At 37.3% G+C, this 22,165-nt stretch overlaps 1 long non-coding RNA gene across 1 annotated transcript in view, besides 1 other annotated feature; it reads left to right on the top strand.

The window, feature by feature from the left end:
• Positions 1-21,904, top strand: part of RNF217-AS1 (RNF217 antisense RNA 1) — a 54,785-nt gene extending 32,881 nt beyond the window's left edge. The window contains exons 6-7 of the long non-coding RNA NR_026876.1: positions 9,899-9,959; positions 17,288-21,904. This is a non-coding gene — a long non-coding RNA (RNF217 antisense RNA 1). The remainder of the gene's footprint in view (positions 1-9,898; positions 9,960-17,287) is intronic.
• Positions 17,457-17,657: a silencer, noted in NCBI's record as "peak6100 fragment used in MPRA reporter construct". NCBI's record gives its function as "represses an SCP1 promoter by STARR-seq MPRAs in K562 erythroleukemia cells {active_cell/tissue: K562}" and the evidence as "EXISTENCE:reporter gene assay evidence [ECO:0000049][PMID:32103011]".
• Positions 21,905-22,165: the final 261 nt, after the last annotated feature.

Below are 22,165 nucleotides of genomic sequence, written 5' to 3'. Positions count from 1 at the left end.
TATTGTGTTACAATTGCCTATAAGTATTCAGTACAGTAACATGCTGCACAGGTTGGTAGCCTAGGAGAATAGGCTATACTGTATAGCCTATGTGTGTAGTAGGTTCTGTATCTACTTTCTGTAAGTACACTCCATGATGTTTGCACAATGAATTCACTTAACGATGCATTTCTTAGGATGTATCCCCATTGTTAAGCAACACATCACTGTGTTTGCTAAATTGATGCAAAAAAATTGTTTATACTATTTTCAAGTCTATTATATCGTCATGTTTGAATATAGAATTTTGGATTCTTTGAAGTAGAAAATGTTTTAAGAGCTCTTCATTCCCTGGCTTCTTGGTTCATTGAGGTCAATAACTAAGATATCACAAAGAAGAAACTCTTCATGTATCAGGTATTCTTGGAGTCAGTTTTTCTTTTCTTCCCTTTGGCCAAATAAATTCTTCCCCCTTTTAACCTATACTTTTTTTTTGTCCAAAGTTTCTTTTTTTGTTGTTCAGTGTTTTTGTGGAGTTCAGAGAACAAAAGATCTGTGTTTCTGTATCATAATTCATTTTGGTTATAGATTTCCTAGTTCTACATAGTTGCACTGGCAGTAAAGAGATCCTTTGATTTTTCAGTAACCAATTCCTCCCTTTACATGGACCATGAAACTTAACAGCTGACTGAAAGGTATGAGAGAATTTCTCTTATCTCTTAAAGTAGCTGGAAAATTGCTAACTGTTCTGAAGTGAGCTTGTTTTCTTGGTCATCTCTTTGGGATCCTCAAGTAGACTGAAGTACATCTTCAGAGGACTAAGCGCTGGCAACACAAAGACTGCGGTATCAGATACAAAGTCACCACATTGTAGAACTGGGATGGAAGTTGATTTCATCGTGGTTGAGTAAGTCTGGTCAAAGCTAGTCTGTCTAAGTCAGCCTTCTGCTTAAATGAACAGATTATAAGCTGATTATTCTACATGAAACACAATGGGCTCATTTGCCTCTTAGTGCTTAAAGAGAAAACCAATAGCGTAGATTGGTTCCAATTAAATTCAGTGAATCAAGCTTCCTATGGAATTAACCAAACAATTATGTCTAGTACTGGCCCAAGCATGCTGTCGGGATTTTTTGATGATGATGTAGTGATTAAGAGTGGCAATGATGGGTCTAGATCATGCAGGCGCAGCTCTGCTAACCACAAATATTTCTTTTGATAGGTAGGGTACAGAGTAACTCTTGTCTTTAAAAATCTCTAATGAAATCCTTAAAACCATGGAATATAATTAAATTCGGAGTTTTTCAGGTGATGGAGGTTGTCTGTGTGAATAAACATGTGGTTCAATTGGACCAACTTAAAAATTCCTTGGTTGGCTTGTCTGTGTTTGCTCTTGGCTGCTTTAGTGCTTTAAAATGGTCCAGTTAAATCAGACTGTCAAAATGGTGAGGTTCCTGTTTGATTTACTCATGCCACACAAACCCACACAGAGTGTTATGAATGCCACATTTGAGAAAATCTCCCATTTGTGAAAACATATTGGGTCACATTAAAAAGGAGATTAAATGAATCCCTTTTTCCAAAAGTTTTTGGTAGGTAGAAAGGAATGCTGAGGTGACGCCTGTGTAATGGCAGAAATACAGATGCCTCTTTCTCATGGAAATATGTTCTATGGGCTAAATTTCATCACATTGGGGGATGGGAGACTATAAGAAGCAGGCTTCAAATTACCCTTCGATGGAAGGCTGGCAAATTAAATCCTGACCTTCTGCATGGTATTTAGAGTGCAGCGCAAGAAGCAGCTCACACATTCTCGAAAGAAACCCCATTGTAAGCTTTGCTATGCCTCAGCACTGCTGGGCCTGCTCTCCTTCACTGTTCTACATTGTAGAATACAGGCAATTGGTGTGTGACCCACTTATTTTACTTCTACAGCATTTACTGCAGGCATACTTTGTTTGAAAGATCTCAATGCTATTCAATTTAAATAGATTTATAAGGCCAATGGATTCAAAATGCACAAATAGGTCTATTATATAGACATGTCCTAAGTTAGATAAGATGGGATTTTATAGAATGGAGAGTGTCTTCCAGACTGGTGTATGTACCAATGTCCAGCAACGCACATGTAAAGCTCATCGGATGACTAATGATGACTCCTGGAACCTTAATTCATGGGGAACAAAGGGCTTTTATGGTCAATACTGAATAAGACTCTCCAATTTCATATCCTTCTTCTAAGTAGAACTGGCAGTCAGACCCTTAAGGAATAATTCTAAATACTACTGCTTCTTATTAACTGAAAACACAAAGATTCTAGATAGATGATCAACAGAAAGCTTTGTTGTGTGAGGTAGGTATGAGACAATTATTTTATTTCTTTGAAAGCAGAAAAGTAACTAAAATTGTCATGTATTTTTGGTTACAATTTTACTGCTTCCAGACTTAAGTTTCACAAGCAATTAAAAGGTTTAAAGATGCTCCATTTATTAAAGTCACTTGTTTGTGTTCTTTGACATAATTTGCTGATCAAATGAGTCCTATTGGAATCATATCCCAACAGCAGTTCCAAGCCATTAACAACATTACTGCATTATTGGGGTTTAATGGGGCAAAACACATTCATGTAGCTTTTCTGGAGCTCTGTATTTAGTAGCCTCTCATATTTAATTTTGCTTCTGTCCTTTTAATATTACAAAACAAGCTAACTTTAAAGCCAAATACTTAGTGTTTGAAGCACTACATTTCAGAGAGTAAAAAAAGGCCTAAGTGGCTGGGCGCGGTGGCTCACGCCTGTAATCCCAGCACTTTGGGAGGCCAAGGCGGGTGGATCACGAGATAAGGAGATCGAGACCATCCTGGCTAACATGGTGAAAACGCGTCTCTACTAAAAAAAATACAAAAAAATTAGCCGGGTGTGGTGGTGGGTGCCTGTAGTCCCAGCTACTCGGGAGGCTGAGGCAAGCGAATGGCGTGAACCCAGGAGGTGGAGCTTGCAATGAGCGGAGATCGCGCCACTGCACTGCACTCCAGCTTGGGCGACAGAGCAAGACTCTGTCTCAAAAAAAAAAAAAAAAAAAAAAAAAAAAGGCCCAAGTAAAAAGAACAAGGTAACATGTTTATTGCTATACATTTTCCCTTTTAGATAGGATGAGAGTAAGAAATGCTACCTAGAACTAGAAGGAAAAATGTTCTCCCTTATCTATTTGCAAAATCCTTCACACTGTTAACTTTAAAGCCCAGGTGAGTTGAAAATGAAATATATATAAAGGGCATATTTTATGTATCAGATGTCTGGGGTTGTGTCTGCAGGGCCCTAAATATTTAAAAGAAAAATTGTAGATGACAGTGGACATAGGGACAGAGGACATTTGACAGTGTGTTAGAAGAGGGGCCAAACATAGCAAAAACACGATTGGCCATGAGCTGCATGGACAGTAGGGGTTGCTAGCCAGGACGATTCCTTCCCTAAGCATGAGCATGGCCAATATGGAGACTGTCCTTTTTAAAAGTGACATGAGGCTTGCTTGTGTGTTAGCACTACCTGCACAGAATAGACTTTGATCTCACTCAGATCAATGTTGGGTCTCATCCAGCAAAGTGCTATGTTAATGTATCAAATAGATTAATTTGGTTTCTAAGTGATTTCTTCCAAAAGGCAGTCACATGGCAAGAACTTAAAGGTCAACATGATTATTAGTCTATTATTTAATTTTGTTATTTGGGAGTATACAATTTAACCCTTGTAGGAGAAGAAAACAACTTTTCTTCTACTCTGCTATGTTTATTTCCTGGGGTCTGTGAATTAAATGGACAACAGACAGACTAACAAGAGAAATAATTTTTCTGTATGCATATGGGAGCCCACAAAAGACAGCTCCTTAAATGGTTAGAGACTCATATACCTACCTTAGTAGGAGAAAGGGAGTGGGGACAAAAGACATATATGGGAAAGATAAATAGATCTTCTCTTTTTAGGAGAAGAAATGGAAGAAGAACGTGGTAATATTTGTCTGTATAGGTTTGAATAGTCTTTTCCTCTCTTTCAGGGCCATAAAACTTCACTAGAGAAGGGATTTGATGTAGGTTTTATTCACCTCCCTTCTAAGGTTACATCCATCTTGAAGAAGAAATTTATGGTAGCCCTATTTCTCAGAATATGCTGCTATTAGTCAGATAAGGGAAACTTCTTTGTGCATCTGTTGATTCTCAATTGCCTCTGCCAAAGTGACATATTATGGGTGGCATATTAGGATACCCCTCACTCTATAAGCAGCAGCCATAATAAAACTATATTATAAGCATGATTTAACATCCTTGATAAGTGTTTAGAGACTTTATGCCAAGTGACAAGATTTTGGTGAGTTCTTGGCATGTGAGGGTGAGAAAATGTAATAATTATTTTATTTTCAAATTCCAACATCAAAGATTTTTTTCCTCAAACAGATGGGACAAAATCCATCATTCCTTAAGGTTTACATAATGTTAAAAATAACAAACATTTTGACAAGAGAACGTGTAGCAGAGGCAGAATTTACTAAGTTATATTTTTCATGATAACACAACAGTGACTTAATATATTGAAGAACAAATCTAGTAGAATGATTTAAAATTTTACCATATCAATTTTAAGAGGCATTTGAAAAATAATAGAAGAAACACTTAAAGGAATTTTTATTAATATATACTTCACTTGGAGTTTACATTTGTAAGTCAAAAATTTAACTAAAATTTTGGATAAAGGAAATATGGTATATGTAAACAATGTAATACAATGGAAGGAGGCCAGGCGCGGTGGCTCACGCCTGTAATCCCAGCAGTTTGGGAGGCGGAGGCGGGCGGATCACAAGATCAGGAGATGGAGACCATCCTGGCTAACACGGTGAAACCCCGCCTCTACTAAAAATACAAAAAATTAGCAGGGCGTGTTGGTGGGCACCGGTAGTCCCAGCTACTTGGGAGGCTGAGGCAGGAGAATGGCGTGAACCCAGGAGGTGGAGCTTGCAGTGAGCCGAGATCACGCCACTGCACCCCAGCCTGGGCGACAGAGCGGGACTCCGTCAAAAAAAAAAAAAAAAAAAAAAGAAAAAAAGAAAAGGAAGGAAGGAAAGAAAGAAAGAGAAAAAGAAAGAAAGAAATCAATTCTGGCTGAGTGTAGTGGTTCACACTTGTAAACCTATCCCTTAGGGAGGCAGACATAGGCAGGTGGATAGATTACTTCAGGCCAGGAATTCGACACCTGCCTGGGCAACACAGTGAGACCTTTTTCTCTGCAAAAAGGAAAAAAAGAAAGAAGAAAGAAATTCTGCTATATGTGACTACATGGATGAACTTGAAGGACATTGTACTGAAATAAGTCAGACACGGATGAATATGGCATGACTTCATTTATATGAGATATCTAAAATATTCAAACTCACAGAGAGAGTAGTGTGGAAGCTACCAGGAGGTGAGAGTGGCGAGGAAGGGGAGCTGCTATTAAATGGTTTAAAATAATTAATTGTGTGGCTGGTAGACTCAGATGGCTCCAGTGCCCTGGGTTCCTGTGTAAGCAAACTGAAGCCCAACTCTGCATAAATTGTCTTAACCAATCAGAAAGCACCAACTCACCTCTAAATACGGACTTTCCACTGGAATGATCCAAATAAGGATACCGCTCCTCTTTAACCAATCAAATATTTTCTTTGGCTTGCTTCCATCTTTACCCTATAAAAGCATTCTCCTCATGCCCCTGGATAGAGCCCCAGAACTGCTTCTAGTTTGAAGCTGCCCAATTTATGAATCCTGTCTGCTCAAATAAACTCTTTAAAAGTTTATGCCAAAGTTTATCTTTTAACAATGAGAATAAAGTTTAACTTATGCAAGCTGATTAAGTTTAGAGTTCTGCTGTACAGCATTGTAACTGTAGTTGACAATACTGTATTGTACACTTAAAAATTTGCTAAAAGGATAAATCTCATGTTAAATGTTCTTACCAGAAAAAAGTATTGAAAATACCTGGACTTAGAGAAAATTTTGTAAAGAATCCTCTCTATGCAATCAATCTTCCATCTGTGGATAGAAAATTGGAAGATGTGCATCATTTAGCTGTCTAAAAAGTAACAAAGTTCAGCAAAATACACTTATAACAGCTTTGTTTTGCATGATGATTTTTAAAATAAACAATAACATTATAATATTAACTAAAGCATATGACACTTCTATAGGTCAGATATTGTTTGACTCTTTACATACTCATTTAATTCTAACCACAACCCTTTAAGACAGGTATTGTTTATGGCTGCATTTTATAGATGAGGAAACTCAGGCACTGAGAAAAGAAACATATACAAGTATATTGTCTTAGTCTGTTTATACTGCTATTTAAAAATACCTGAGACTGGGTAATTTATAAACAACAGAAATTTATTATTCACAGTTCTGGAAGTGAGGAAGCCCAAGATCAAGTGCAGCCATGTTTGGTGTCTAGTGAGGGCCCATTCCTCATAGATGACACCATCTAGGTATCCTCACACAGCAGAAGAAATGGAAGGGCAAAGAAGGTAGTGGTAAACAGCTTTTTCTCACCTTTTATAAGGTCATGAATCCCATTCATTAGGGCTGTACCCTCATGACTTAGTCACCTAAGGCCCCACCTGTTATTACCATTGCAAAGTCAATTAAGTTTTAACACATGAATTTTTGGGGACACACTTAGTCTACAGCAGACATAGTATGAAATTATGAAATAGTTGGTTAGATTATTAACTTCTCACTCAACAAATACTTATTGAGCCCCTATTACTTGCCAGACACTTTTTGAGGTCCAGGGAATATAGTAGTGAGCAAGACAGCAGTGTTTTTGTCCCTAGTGGGAAAGAGGAAAATACACAAAGATAATATTGAATGTGATAGGTATCATGAAAGGGTATTCAGTGTTTAGTGATGGTATAACCTAGTTTGTGAGAAGGTGAAGCTGAGAACTGACAGAGGAGTCAGCTTGGTGGATGGGGGAAAGAAGGACATTCCAGGTATGGAAATAGCACGTATAAGGCTGATATGGGAAGAACCTGATGTATTAGAGGAAATGAAAGGAGTCTCAAGTGGTTAGACCACAGTTAGCAAGGTGGAATGACAGAAGGTGGGTTAGAAAGGTAGTGAAGGGTGTGATCATCTGAGTTTTGTAGGATATTTAAAAAAGTCTGGTTCTAGGCCGGGCAAGTTGTCTCACACCTGTAATCCCAGCACTTTGGGAGGCTGAGGTGGGTGGATCACTTGAGTCTAGGAGTTTGAGACCAGCCTGGCCAGCATGGTGAAACCACATCTCTACTAAACATAGAAAAAATTAACTGAGCATGGTGGCAATGGGATTACATGCCTGTAATCCCAGAGACTTGGGAGGCTGAGACATCAGAATTGCTTGAACCCAGGAAGCTGAGGTAGCAGTGAGCTGAGGTCACACCACTGCACTTCATGCTGGGCAACAGAGTGAGACTCTGTCTCAGAAAAAAAATGCTGGTCTTATTTACGACTTTCCATGGCAGAACAGTTAGGAACTTATGATAATAGTTTGCTGAGAGATATCCATAGGCGAAACTAGTGGCAGATGCAAAGAACAACAGGTATAGTTGAGAAAGATCAATCAGATTTGGATGTAATAAAAGAGGGCAGGTGGTATGAGGCTTCTAGCTTGAACAATGAAGTGGATGTTTAGGGTGGGGGGAGAGATGATGACTTCAGTTTTAGATTGGTTGAATTTTAAATGTCCATGAAATATTTGATAGGAGATATTGAGAGAAAACTAGATATACATGCCTTGATCTCTCAAGAGAGGTCTGAGTTGGAGTTATTGAAAGTTAATAGCCTGTAGATGGTAGTTAAAGACCTGCAAGTATATATGATTATGCCACAGAGAAAGTCCAGAGGGAAAGGATGAGGGCTCAAGATTGAAACAAAAAATTAATAAATACTCTTTGAATGAATGGACGAGGTTTCATAACACATGACAGGGCAAATAGGCCAGTATTTTTTTTCTTTTTTAGGAGTTAACAATCCTTAATAATATAAGACAATATGTTATAGGAATTGATATGGTTTGGCTGTGTCCCCACACAAATCTCATCTTGAATTGCAGCTCCCATAATCCCATGTGTAATCGGAGGGACATGGTGGGAGGTAATTGAATCACGGGGGCAGATTTTTCCCATGCTGTTCTCATGATAGTGAATAAGTCTCATGAGAGCTGATGGTTTTATAAATAGCAGTTCTCCTGCACACATTTGCTTGCCTGCTGCCATGTAAGACATGCCTTTGTTCCTCTTTCACCTTCTGCCATGATTGTGAGGTTTTCCCATCCATGTGGAACTGTGCATCAATTAAACCTCTTTTTCTTTAATAATTACCCAGTATCAGGTATGTCTTTATCAGCAGTTTGAGAACAGACTAATACAGTAAATTGGTGCCAATAGAGTGGGATACTGCTACAAGGATACCTGAAAATGTGGAAATGACTTTGGAACTGGTAAGAGGCAGAGGTTGGAACAGTTTAGAGGGCTCAGCAAAGGACAGGAAAATGAAGGAAACTTTGGAACTTCCTAGAGACTTGGAGGTCTCAGAAGACAGGGAGATGTGGGAAAGTTTGGAACTTCTTAGAGATTTGTTGAATGGCTTCAACCAAAATGCTGATAATGATATGGACAATAAAGGCCAGGCTGAGGGGGTCTTGGATGGAGATGAGGAACTTCTTGGGAACTGGAATAAAGGTGACTCTTGCTATGTTCTTGCCCCTGGCCTAGAGATCTGTGGAACTTTGAACTTGAGAGAGATGATTTAGGGTGTTTGGTGGAAAAAATTTATAAGCAGCAAAGCATTCAAGAGGTAACTTGGGTGCTGTTAAAAAAAAATCTAGTTTTATGTATTTACAGATATATGGTTTGGAATTGGAACTTATATTTAAAAGGGAAGCAGACCATAAAAGTTTGGAAAATTTGCAGCCTGATAATGCAATAGAAAGGAAAAATCCATTTCCTGAGGAGAAATACAATCCAGTTACAGAAATTTGCATAAGTAACAAGAAGCCAAATGTTAATCACCAAGACACTAGGGAAAATGTCTCCAGGGCATGCCAGAGGTCTTTAGGGAGCCCCTCCCATCACAAGCCAGGAGGCTTAGGAGGAAAAATATGGTTTTGTGGGCCAGGCCCAGGGCCTTGGTGCTTTGTGAAGTCCCCTGGACTTGGTGCCCTGTGTCCCAGCAGTGGCTAAAAGGGCCAGCGTACAGCTCAGGCCGTTGCTTCAGACGGTGCAAGCCCCAAGCCTTGGCTGCCTCCATGTGGTGTTGAGCCTGTGGGTGCACAGAAGTCAAGAATTAAGGTTTGGAAATCTTCACCTAGATTTCAGAGGATGTATGGAAATGCATGGATGTCTAGGCAGAAGTTTGCAGCAGGGTTGGAGCCCTCACAGAGAACCTCTGCTAGGGCAGTGCAGAAGGGAAATGTGGGGTGGAAGCCCCTACACAGAGTCCCCACTGCGGCACTGCATAGTGGAGCTGTGAAAAGAGGGCCACCATTCCCTAGAGCCCAGAGTAGTAGATCCACCAACAGCTTGCATCGTGCACCTGGAAAGGCCATAGACACTCAATGCCAGCCTGTGAAAGCAGCCAGGAGGGGGGCTGTACCCTGCAAAGCCACAGGGGTGGAGCTGCCCAAAGCTGTGGGTGCCCAACTCTTGCATCAGCATGATCTGGATGTGAGACATGAAGTCAAAGGAGGTCCTTTTGGAGTTTTATCATTTGACTGCCCTGCTGGATTTCAGACTTGCCTGGGGCCTGTAGTCCTTCATTTTGGCCAATTTCTCCAATTTGGAATGGGTGCATTTACCCAATACCTGTACCCTACCCCCACTGTATCTAGGAAGTAACTAACTTGCTTTTGATTTTACAGGGTTATAGGCGGAAGGGATTTGCCTTGTCTCAGATGAGACTTTGGACTGTGGACTTTTGAGGTAATCCTAGAATGAGTTAAAACTTTGGGGGATTGTTGGGAAGGCATGATTGTTTTTGAAATGTAAGGACATGAGATTTGGGAGGGGCCAGAAGTGGAATGATATAGTTTGGCTGTGTCCCCACCCAAATCTCATATTGTATTGCAGCTCTCATAATCCCCATGTGTCATGGGAGGAACCAGGTAGGAGGTAATAGGATCAATGGGGCAGGTTTTTCCCATGCTGTTCTTGTAATAGTGAATAAGTCTCATGAGATCTGACAGTTTTAGAAAGGGCAGTTCCCCCTGCACATGCTCTCTTGCCTGCTCCCATGTAAGACGTGCCTTTGCTCCTCCTTTGCCTTCTGCCATGATTGTGAGGCCTCACCAGCTGTGTGGAACTGTGAGTCCATTAAACCTCTTTTTCTTTATAAATTACTCAATCTCGGGTATGTCTTTATTAGCAGTGTGAGAACAGACTAATACAGGAATCAAAGTAGTAGATGTGGAAAATGTTGTAGGCAATCAATAGAGTAAGGAACCAGTTTTAGAATGGTCAGGAAGGCCGTATCAAAAGAATAGGGCCCTAGTAGGATATTAAGATGACCAAGTGGGAGGGGAGTTTAAATGAAATGTGAGGAAAAAGGAAGGCACAAGGCAGATTTTGCATAGGAGCTGCCAAAAGAAGCAAAAGAAATAGAGATGATGATTTCTGTCCTCATGGAACTTACGTATAAATGAAAACACTATAAACAGAAAAGAAAACATGAAATATTTAAAAGAACCATATTTTATGGACTATGTTAATTAATATTATGGGTTGTCTATATGCAATGCTGAAGAAGCATTAGAGTGGCTGTGCTTTTCTGGTATTAGGAGAGTATTGTGGAAGAAATGGGTTTGGAGTCACAGTTTAAAGACAGTCATGGATGTGAATTTCTTAGTCTTAATTCATATTCTCACTAAAGTATTTGATTGCCTAGTAAATATATATTGAGTGTCCATTCTGTAGCAGGTTTTCAAAGCCTAATAAACTGCATTTGAAAGGTTTTCCCCTTTATTGTTCTTTATAAATGTAACTTGTAATTGCTGCAATGAACCATAATTACTTAAAGCCAGATTAGATGAACTGTAAGTGCCATTACTAACCCTCTTAATTAGGGAAAGCAAGCTCAAGGGAAAATGAAAATGGATGCAGTGATGATTGCTTGTACTCAAGTGCAACAAGGACACTCAAGAGAAGTTATACTACAGTATTCTAATTCTAAGCTTATTTATGCATTAAAAAGTTGACCATTTAATAAATGTTCTTACTGCTATTTTGAAGTCACATCCCAAATCCTGAAATCTCTAGTTTGGTTTTTTCCATTAATAAGCCATTTAAATATTTGTATCCAGTGAAAATCCCTCTTCTGACAACTAAATATAGAAAGCTAATCACTTCGTGGTTAGACCCAATGAACAACAAGCTTCTCAAACTTAATACTCATTTATTTATTTATTTTTTGCTTCAATTGAATGCCAATTGTTTCATTTTCCCATTATTTTGATTTCTAAGGGAAGATAACTCTAACCTAGCTTAGATGGAGGACACAAAAGAAATAGACTTTTATTTTCCTACAGAGAATATAAATTCACAAATGTAAAAGACTCTTGCCACATTCACTTCCTTCTTTTCTAGCTCTCTTCATTATGGAAGTGGTAGTAAATAATTCCTGGAGAATTATATAGATTAATTGTTGTCAGGAAAACAAAACCGAAACCAAAGTAACAACTAAAGAATGCTACAGAACTTCTTGTGCACTCTTTGAGCATAATGTCTGCTCTATGTCTCTCACAAGGCAAGATCTCTGCAACTCAGGCCTCCTAAGGGACCTCTATTACCAGCCTCTAAAGACTTAGTTGGAATGTTTGAACATGTTTTAATATAGTAAGAGCTTTTTAATTTTCTTTCAATTAACAAAGTTTTATTATCATCAAACAGGGCCTCTAGAACTATATCTGATGAATTATTCAAAAAGGGTTGTGAAACAGGTTCACTGTGCATTGATTACCAATTTGTCTGAATCTAGTGAGACAGAATACCCCTCACACAAGTTATATTTAGATATTTTATTATAGATAGCAGCAAGAGTTTACAGAAACCTGGGATTCATTGTGAGCCAGTTCTTCACGGCTCAGGAAAGTCACCCAAGGCAGTTGAGAAACCCCAGAAAACAGCCTTCCCTGGTTTTATGCCCCAGGGGATTATGACATGCTGAGCTAAAGTATTAATGAACATCCTCTTCTGGGGGGTTAGAACAAGCCAGAGCTATTTGGACTAGCTCCCCCTTATCCCAGCACATTCTACAGTTATTCTTGAGAACTAAAAGGGAGGAAGGCAGAAAAACTGGGTTTGTCCAAAGGGGCACCCAGAGAACTGCCCTACAGAAGGTAAAGGAGGTAGAAGCTTATACATATTTTATACTGGAGTTTAGATGCAAAACAATGTGGTGCCTAAGGATATAATATTTGCAGTAAAAAAACCCAGAGTTTGAATAACTCTTGTCGTGTGACTTTAGAGAACTCCCCACCTCCCCATTTTTTAAAGCAAAACATTTTTTACTACAAAATAATGTATGACAGTTGTCATAAAAATATTCAAAACATCACTAAGAAATTGTATTAAGTCATTCTTGCATTACTAAAAAGAAATACCTGAGAGTGGGTAATTTATAAAGAAAAGAGGTTTAATTGGCTCACAGTTCCGCAGGCTGTACGCTGAAAACATAACTCCAGCATCTGCTCAGCTTCTGGGGCGGCGTTAAGGAGTTTTTACTCATGACAGAAGGCAAAGTGGAAGCAGGTACATCACAGGGACAAAGCAGGAGCCACAGAGAGAGAAAGTGGGGTGGGGGAGGTGCCACACACTTTTAAATGACCAGATCTTGTGAAAACTCACTCATTTGCAAAGAGAGCACCAAGCCATGAGAGATCCACTGCCATGACCCAAACACCTCCCACTAGGCTCTACCTCTAGCATTGGGGATTACAATTCAACATGAGCTTTGGGTGGGGAAAAATTACCAAACTATATCAGAAACAAATGGTAAAAATTGATCATCTATTTTCTCTTTCAGTCTTATTGCCCAGAGGAAACCATATTTACAGTATGTCCATAGGAACTTTCTTCATATATCTTCTTTTTCTGTCATGTAGATACTAATTTTAAAAACAACAAATACCAGATTATATTTGTTTGACAAAAATACTTCTGAAAATTATGCAATTATGTGAGTGAATTACTTAAACTCTTTAAGCCTTAGTGTCCTCGACTATAAGGTGAGGATGTTAATTCCTATTTCAAAAAATATGATGAGGAATAGATGAGTTAAAAGCAAAGTGCTTAGTAAAGTGACTGAAATATGGAAAAGGTTCAATAAATGCTGCATGTTAGTTATCCAGGGCTCTTGCTCCTTTTCACTTCTCTGGTTGCAGTGCACTTTCAGTGTTCTATATGTAGTTGCACAAGTGCATGTTATCCATTTATATCAGCCCATATCCTAGAATCAGTAACGGTTCATGGAAGACGCTTAATCAGTGATCACTGAATGAATGAACACACCATGAGTCTAATACTTATTGAGCTGCTTTGCAAATATTTATTATGTCAGTTTGTCTCCTTTTCTTCTCAAAGCTCCTTGAAGACAGTGGCTTCCTTGTCTCACTCATTTTTTTTACTCTACATCACACAAAGTAGGCCTTAACCAATATTTCGTAAACACAGGCATGCTCCTAATCTAGTCAAACTTAGAGCTACTCTTTACTTCTGCATAAGAAATTTGAAAGGAGCACATTCTAAAGGCTGACTGTGGAGTAGAAGGAGCGCCTCACAGCCTTATTCATCTCAGGCAATCTGCCGTTCTTTTAAAGAGCTGAATAATCCTTTCTAGGTCCTTCTGACATTTTGATCTAGAATGCTTGCTTGGAGACTACCAAGGAAAGGGGATCTGATGTTCAGGATTATGATTTATCTTTGAAAGAACCCACAAGGGAGAGAGAATTCATAGAGTTGAGGAAAAGCCAAAGATCTCTGGGGTCTTTTCTGGTTGGCCACCAGGCCTGGATTGACTTCTCTCTTCAAGCCCTCTGCATTTTTGGAGCAAAAAATCTTGACTAGGCACAAGGTATTGACTCTTCATTTTCATTTGAAAAATTACTCAATCTACTTGACTTTCCAACTTGGGTGTATATCTTCTCGTATTTATCTGGAGAAATTAAATAATCATTTTCCTCTTAAGTTGCTTTTAAATGTATCATTTACATAAAAATCTTCCAGTTGAGGTTGCGGTGAGCCAAGATCGCGCCATTGCACTCCAGCCTGAGCAACAAGAGCGAAACTCTGTCTCAAACAAGACAAACAAACAAACAAACAAACAAAAATCTTCCGGTTTACTTTCCAGAATTTCTTGGATGCCCTTTTATTTATTCGTAGTGCCACATCATCAGTTTCCCTACGTTGAAGCATAAATCCACCCATAAAAGCAGAAATTATCAATATTTCCATGTTCCCTATAATAAGTTTCAAACTTCCCATAGGTAGTCAACTACACACATAATAGTTTCTTTTTATTCTGGACGACATCTAAAGAAGTTTTCATTTCATAAAACATTATTATATCTGAGACAGTGAATTAGTCTCTATAAAAATAGTGGTAAAATAGATATAACAAAATGTATCATTTTAACCATTTTAAAGTTTGCAATTCAGTGGCAATACATACATTTAAAATGTGTGTAATCATCACCACTATCTATTTCTAGAACTCTTCTATCACCCCAAATAGAAACTCAAAATAATTTTTTTAAATGAGACTTTAAAAATCATTAATTCTGAAAGCATGTTGAAAACATTTGTGGAATTATTTTTCAAAGTTGGAAAAGTACATGAAGAGACAAATTATAGATACTACGTAAGTAGCTATTTGAGCTTTCTTTTTTAACCACAGCTTTAAAAATAATGTAAAAACAGATTAGAAGTATCCAACATTGCATATAGAACTAAAGTAGAAGTAGAAAGTAGAATAACAAATTAATTAACAAATATACCCCTACCCCACTTGGCTTTCTAAGTTTTTTGTACCGAGTTCAAATTTCACTTCCTCCTCAAGGAAATGTTCTTTGTTAACCTTCAGCAGAAATAATTTCTTACTTCTTTGAAATTTGCTTGGTTAATAGTTTCTTTTACTTCACGTTTACTTTGTATCTCATTTAGAACCCATCTCCCCCACCGAAGAAATAGGTCCTTGACAACAAGTTCCCATTCATTCATGAATAAAATATGTAATTGTATTCCTGTGATAAAATGTTTATTTTAATCATACTTTTAAGTTCATTTACTTTCACATGAAAAAATTAACTTTTCCCGAATAACCAAACAATCTTGACTCAGAACAAGTTTGGAGATCCCATACTTTCTGATTTTAAAATTTACTATAAAGCCATGGTAATCAATATAGTGTGGTTCTGCCATAAAGACAGACACATAGAGGAATGGAGTAGAACAGACAGACCAGAAGTAAAATCTTGCATGTACGGTCAAGTGTATATTCCACAAGCATATATTTGACAAGCTTGCATATATTTGAGAAGTGGGCCAAGACCATTCAATGGAAAAAGACAATCTTTTCAATAAATTATGCTGAGAACACAGAATATCCACATGCAAAAAGAACAAAAGAAGGAAAGAAAGAAAGAAAGAAAGTTGGAGGCTTATCTTACACCATATACAAAAATGAGCTCAAAATGAATCAAAGACCTAAATATAACTGATAAAAATTATAAAACTCATAGAAGAAAAATTTAAAAACCCTTCATAATATTGAATTTGGCAATGACTTTTTGGATATGACACCAAAACACAAGAAGCAAAATTTAAAAAGCAGATAGGTTGGACTTCATCAAAATTAAAACTTTTTGTACATAAAAGGATACTAGCAACAGAGTGAAAAACGCAACCCACAGAATGGGAAAAAATACTTGCAAGTCATATATCTGATAAAGGATTGACATCAAGAATATCTTTTTAAAAAAACTCCTGTCTTACTGTCTTAGTCCATTTGTGTTACTGTAACCAAATACCACAAGCCGGCTAATTCATAAAGAACATAAATTTATTTGTCACAGTTCTGAAGGCTGGGAAGTCCAAGATCAAGAGCAAGCAGTGAAGGCCCATTTCTCATGCATGATGCTGTGTATGTATCTTCATGTGGAGAAACAGCAGGAGAACAAAAGGCCTAAACTACTTTCCTCCAGCACTTTTATAAGGCACGGATCCATTCTTGAAGGTGGATCCTTCATGACTTTGTCACTTTCTGAAAGGCCCCACCTCTTAACACCGCCAAATGGGAATGGAGTTTCAATATGGATTTTGGAGGGGACACATTCAAACTATAGTAGTTTTTAACAACTCAAGAACAAGAAACCAAATAACCCAATTAAAAATGGGCAAAGGACTTAAATGGACATTTCTTCAAAAAAGATATACAAATAGCAATCCCATGAAAAGATGCTCAACATCACTAGTCATTAGGGATATGCAAATCAAACCCACAATGGGATACCATGTTACACCCATTAGGATAGCTATTATCAAAACCAAAACAAAACAAATACAGAAAGTAACAAGTATTGGCAAGGATGTGGAGAAATTGGGACGCTTCTGCATTGTTGGTGGAAATGTAAATGGTGTAGCACTGTAGAAAATGGTATGGCAGTTCCTCAAAAAATTTTAACATAGAATTATCACAAAATATAAATGCCACATGGATATATACCCTTAAAACATGAAAGCGGGGACTCAAACAGATATTTCTACACCCATGTTTGTAGCAGCATTATTCACAATAGCTAAAATGGAAGCAACCCTAGTGTCTATCAACAGATGAATGAATAAGCAAAATTTGGTATGTATATGTGCTGTACAATGGAATATGATTCAGCCTTAAAAGGGAAGGAAATTCTGACACAAGCTACAATACAGATGAAACTTGAAAACACTATGGTAAGTAAAATAAGCCAGTCACAAAAGGAGAAAGATTGCATTTTTTTATATGAGGTTCCTAGAGGAGTCAAATTCACAGAGACAAAAAATCAAATATGGCTGTCAGGGGCTGGGAGGAGGGAGAAATGAGAAGTTCGTGTTTAATGGGTACAGTTTCAGTGGAGAAGATGATGGCAGAAGATGGATGATAGTGATGGTTTCATAATGATGTGAATATATTTAATGACAAAGAACTGTGTGCCTAATGCTTAACATGCACATTTTATGTTTTGTATATTTTACCACAAAAATTTTGATTTTTTTTTCAGGCTTACATTTTTTATTTTCCTAGCTGCCTAAAAGAAGATTTGATAAGAAAAAATTTTTCTCTTAATGACCTTAAAATTTTCTCTTAATGAACAAGGTCGTTCTGGACCTTGTTCTGGAACAAAAATGATCTAGTGAGATTTAATCAATTATACTCTGGAAGCATTTGTGACGTCTATAATTTTTCCCAGAACGGAAAATCAGCAACAGAATCCTTGAGCTCAAAGATAATCAAATCTAACTCCTGAGTTTCACAGACAAAGATGCGGAGACCTGGGGGAATATCGTGACTTGAGAAGATAACACAGCTGTTCTCTGAGGCAGTAAGTCCCTTGGCATTACTGCTTTAACAGAAGCTGGGAGGTTTACAGTCTGTTTACTACTTGGGCAAATCATATTAGCCAAGAAAGCAAAGTACTGATGAATTCAGTAAACAAGATAGCCATTAGAAAAACAGGATTAAGAAAGGGCTTGAAAGAAGCTTCAAGGTGGTTATGTTTTAAGATTATGAAGCCTTTGATTCCTAGCCACAGCACTCAGTAGTTGTAAGACCAACTAAACAATTCACTTCTGTCTTCTGCAAATTGACTGGAATTGCAGGACATACCATATACCATGGAGCTCCTAGGAGATTCAGTGAAATAGCAAATATAGAGTGTCTGGCATGGGATATGCAGTCTATCAATGTTAGCCTTTGCTATGTAATCCAAAGTGATTTATTCCATAAGGAAAAAATGAGTTTGTTTTTTGTTTGCTTTTCTTGAATTCATCAGAACACAAGGCAGGGGTTTATGGAAATACAGTCTTGAAGAAAAAAATAAGTATTTTCCCCTGAGAGATGGAAACACTTGTGAAAAGAAATAAGTAGGAGCACAGGAGCTGGAGTAATCCTCTAGAGCAGGGGTCCCCAACCCCAGTCTGTGGCCTATTAGGAGCCCAGCCGCACAGCAGGAGGTGAGTGGTAGGCAAATTAACATTACCACCTGAGCTCCACCTCCTGTGAGATCAGCAGTGGCATTAGATTCTTATAGAAGCACGAACACTATTGGGAACTATGCATGCGAGGGATCTAGGTTGTGTGCTCCTTATGATAATCTAATGCCTGATGATCTGAGGTGAAACAGTTTCATCCGAAAACATTCCACCCACCACCCTGTCCATGGAAAAATTGTCTTCCATGAAGGCAGTCCCTGGTGTCAAAAAGGTCATCGACCACTGCCCTAGAGACTTTTTTTTTTTTTGAGATGGATTCTTGCTCTGTCACCAGGCTGGAGTGCAGTGGAGGCATCTCTGCCCACTACAACCTCCACCTCCTGGGTTTGAGGAATTGTCCTGCCTCAGCCTCCCAAGTAGCTGGATTACAGGTGCATGCCACGACACCCAGCTAATTTTTGTATTTTTAGTAGAGATGGGGTTTCACCATGTAGGCCAGGATGGTCTCGAACTCTTGACCTTGTGATCCGCCTGCCTCGGTCTCCCAAAGTGCTGGGATTACAGGGATAAGCCACCACACCCAGCCTAGAGACCTCTTTTAAAGGGACTCCTCAACAGGCTCCTCAGTCCAGGGTCTTTGCCCTCTCCCTTGTGGCTCCTGTCTCTCCAGGGCCAGCCATGCAAAAGCACGTATCTCTCAGATCTCCCTTCCCTGGTGATTCTTTCCATTTTAAGGGTTTTATTGATATTCATATAGAAAAACAAACAGAAATAATATGTTGGGCAGGAGCAAAGGTTCAGGAAATTTCAAAAGGATCTTTTAGTGGTCACTTCCTGGGTTATGCTAAACTGCAAATGATATTAGATTTACCTTTTTCAGAAGCTATTTCTACTTTTAGACCGCCCTGTGGAATGATCCTCTTATTATTTCTGATTCTTTTATTCTAAAAAATGGAGCAGTCGAAATTTGCCGAATGGCCATGCTATCACAACCCCAAAACTATAAAATTGTGCTATATACTTTTTAAACTTTTTTCTTATATATAGATTTTGTTCACCAAATCACTGCCTCAAATGTCTGGGAAATTGTGCTGAGAGATATTATTCTTAGGTATTCTGTATAGTATTTGAAAGATTAAGAAGTATTAAATAGCAAGCTTATTAATAATTATTTATGCTTATTAGAAACTTATTAGCTACAGTAATTTGGGGTTTCCAGTTACAACCAGATGCTAGACTAAGATCTTTGAGGAAAAGAACATTGTCTCATCTCTGCTTCTCTAACTAGAGTTGTAGGCACATAATAGATTATCATTGAATGGTCAAATAAGTAAAAGAACTAATAGAGAAATAACAATAAGCTGGCTGTTCATTGTTCAGTGAAACCAAATGGTCTTAATTATTTTCTAAATGTATGTTTGATCTAATTGTACTATCATTTTGATCAAGTTCTTTCCTTAACAAGTACTTAAGGATTAATGAAATCCTTTACATAAAAAGTACTTTTTTTAGATTAAAAAATAGTTTGCATTTTAAAACTCTGTAAAATGCACACTAATGTCCAAACTGATGCCCAATATGCAGCCTATATCTACAGCAGCTTTTCAAATATTTGGATGCAGATTTTCAAGTCCTAACATATGCTGCTCCAATTTCATAACAAATTTTACTTAGCAAATGAAACCAACCATGTATTTTAGTTCCAAAAGAAAAATAAAATTATTTCCATAGGGTTACACAAAGAATAAAAACTGTTGCATTGAGATACCAAAAACATGTAGAACTAATAAGTTCAGTGAAGTATAAGATAACTAAACAAAATACAAAAATCAATATACGATATACAAAAATCAGTGGTATTTTCATACGATGGTAATGAACAATCTGAAAATAAAATTAAGAAAACAATTCTATTTACAATAGCATCCAAAATAATAAAACAGGAATAAATTTTACAAAAGAAGTGCAAAACTTATATTCTCATTTATAATGCTGAAAGAAATGTTAACAGACCTAAATAACTGGGAAGATATATCACGTTCATGGACTGAAGGACTCAATATTTTAAGAAGACAATACTTTCCAAATTGATCTACAGATTCATTACTATCCCTATCAAAATCTTAGCTCACATTTTTGCAGAAATTGATGAACCAACTCTAAAATTTGTATGGGAATTGAAAGAATCCATAATAGTCAAAACAGTCTTGAAAGACAAAAAAGTTGGAGTACTCACACTTTGCAATTTCAAACGTGCTACAAAGCTACAATCATCAAGACATTATGAAACTGGCATAAAATTTGACATATAGATGAATGGAATAAAAGTGAGAGCCAAAAATATAGCCTCCCATTTATGACTTACTGACTTTCAACATGGACGTCAAAAGCAATTTAATGGAGGAAGAATATTCTTTTCAACAAATGATGCTGGGACAACTGAGTATCAACCTGCAAAAGAATGAAGTTGGACTTCTAGCTCACACCATATAAAAAAATCAACTTAAAATTGATCAAAGACTCTAATGTCACAGCTAAAACTAGAAAACCCTTAGAAGAAAATATAGGCATAAATCTTTGTGACCTGTTGTTAGGCAATGATTTCTTAGATATGACACCAAACACACAAGGAATAAAACAAACAAATAGATAAATTAGATTTATTCAAATAAAAAACCTTTGTGCTTCAAAGGACAATACCAAGAAAGTGAAGAGAAACAGAAAGAAAGAAAATATTTGCAAATCATGATATCTGATAAGGGATTTGAATTTAGAATATGAAAGAACACTGAGAACTCAACAGTAAAAAGACAACCCAATTAAAAAATAGGCAAATAATCTGAATAGACATTTTTCTAAAGAAGACATACAAATGACAAAAAGCCCATGAAAAGATACTCAACATCATCAGTCATTAGAAAAATAAAAATCAAAGCCACAATGAGATACCAATTTATGTTCACTAAAATGACTATAATCAAAAAGACAAATAATAACAATGGTTGGCAAAGGTGTAGAGAAATTAGAATTTTCATACATTGCTTGTGGAAAGGTAAACTTATACAGCCACTTTGGAAAACAGCTTGGTACTTCCTTCAAATGTTAAAAAGAGTAACCATGTGGTCCAGTAATTCCACTCCTAGGTATATACCCAAGAGAAAGCAAAACATGCTCAAATAAAAACTTGTTCATAAATCTTCATAGCAGCATTATTCATAGCAGGCAAAATGTGAAAACAACCCAAAGTCTGTCAGTTGATAAACAAAATATTATATATTCAATACACAGAAATATTATTGTCTGAAAATGAATGTAGTACTGATGCTTCAACAACATGGATTCTACAAAGTGAATAAATCTTGCAAACATTATGCTACATTAAAGAAGCCACTCACAAAAACCATATATTGTGTACTGCCTTTTATGTGATATATCCAGAACAGGGAACTCTATAGAGACAGAAAGTAGAATAGTGCCTAGCCAGGCCTGGCCAGGAAGATTCTGGGAGGCAATGGGGAGTGACTGCTAATAGATACATGATTTCTTTTCAGTGTGATGAAAATGTTCTAAAATTGATTGTGGTGATGGTTGTATAACTGTGAATATACTAAGAACCAAAGAGTTGTGTACTTTAAATGGTTTAATTGTATGGTACACAAATTATATCTCAATAAAGCTATTAAAAAGATGCCATAGTTGAATCTGTGTGCTGAAACTAGCTTTATAGTCAAATCTTCTCTCTCATATTTTATAGATAATTTACTAAAGCAAAGCTAATAATAATTTCATAATGATACTCATTCCAGATGAGGAAACTAATTATTCTTTTAGGCTAAGGAAATTAAAAACAATTTCCTATCTGAAGATTCACTGACACAGGCAAGAAAGATACCATATTTTTAATGTCCTGCCTCATCTAAAGATGGCAGGGAGACTCTAGTTTGTAA

The sequence above is a fragment of the Homo sapiens genome, chromosome 6 (genome assembly GCF_000001405.40).
Source record: "Homo sapiens chromosome 6, GRCh38.p14 Primary Assembly".
Classification (NCBI taxonomy): Eukaryota; Metazoa; Chordata; class Mammalia; order Primates; family Hominidae; genus Homo; species Homo sapiens.
The sequence above is the reverse complement of the archived record's forward strand: the minus strand, read 5'-3'. Positions and strand labels throughout refer to the sequence as shown.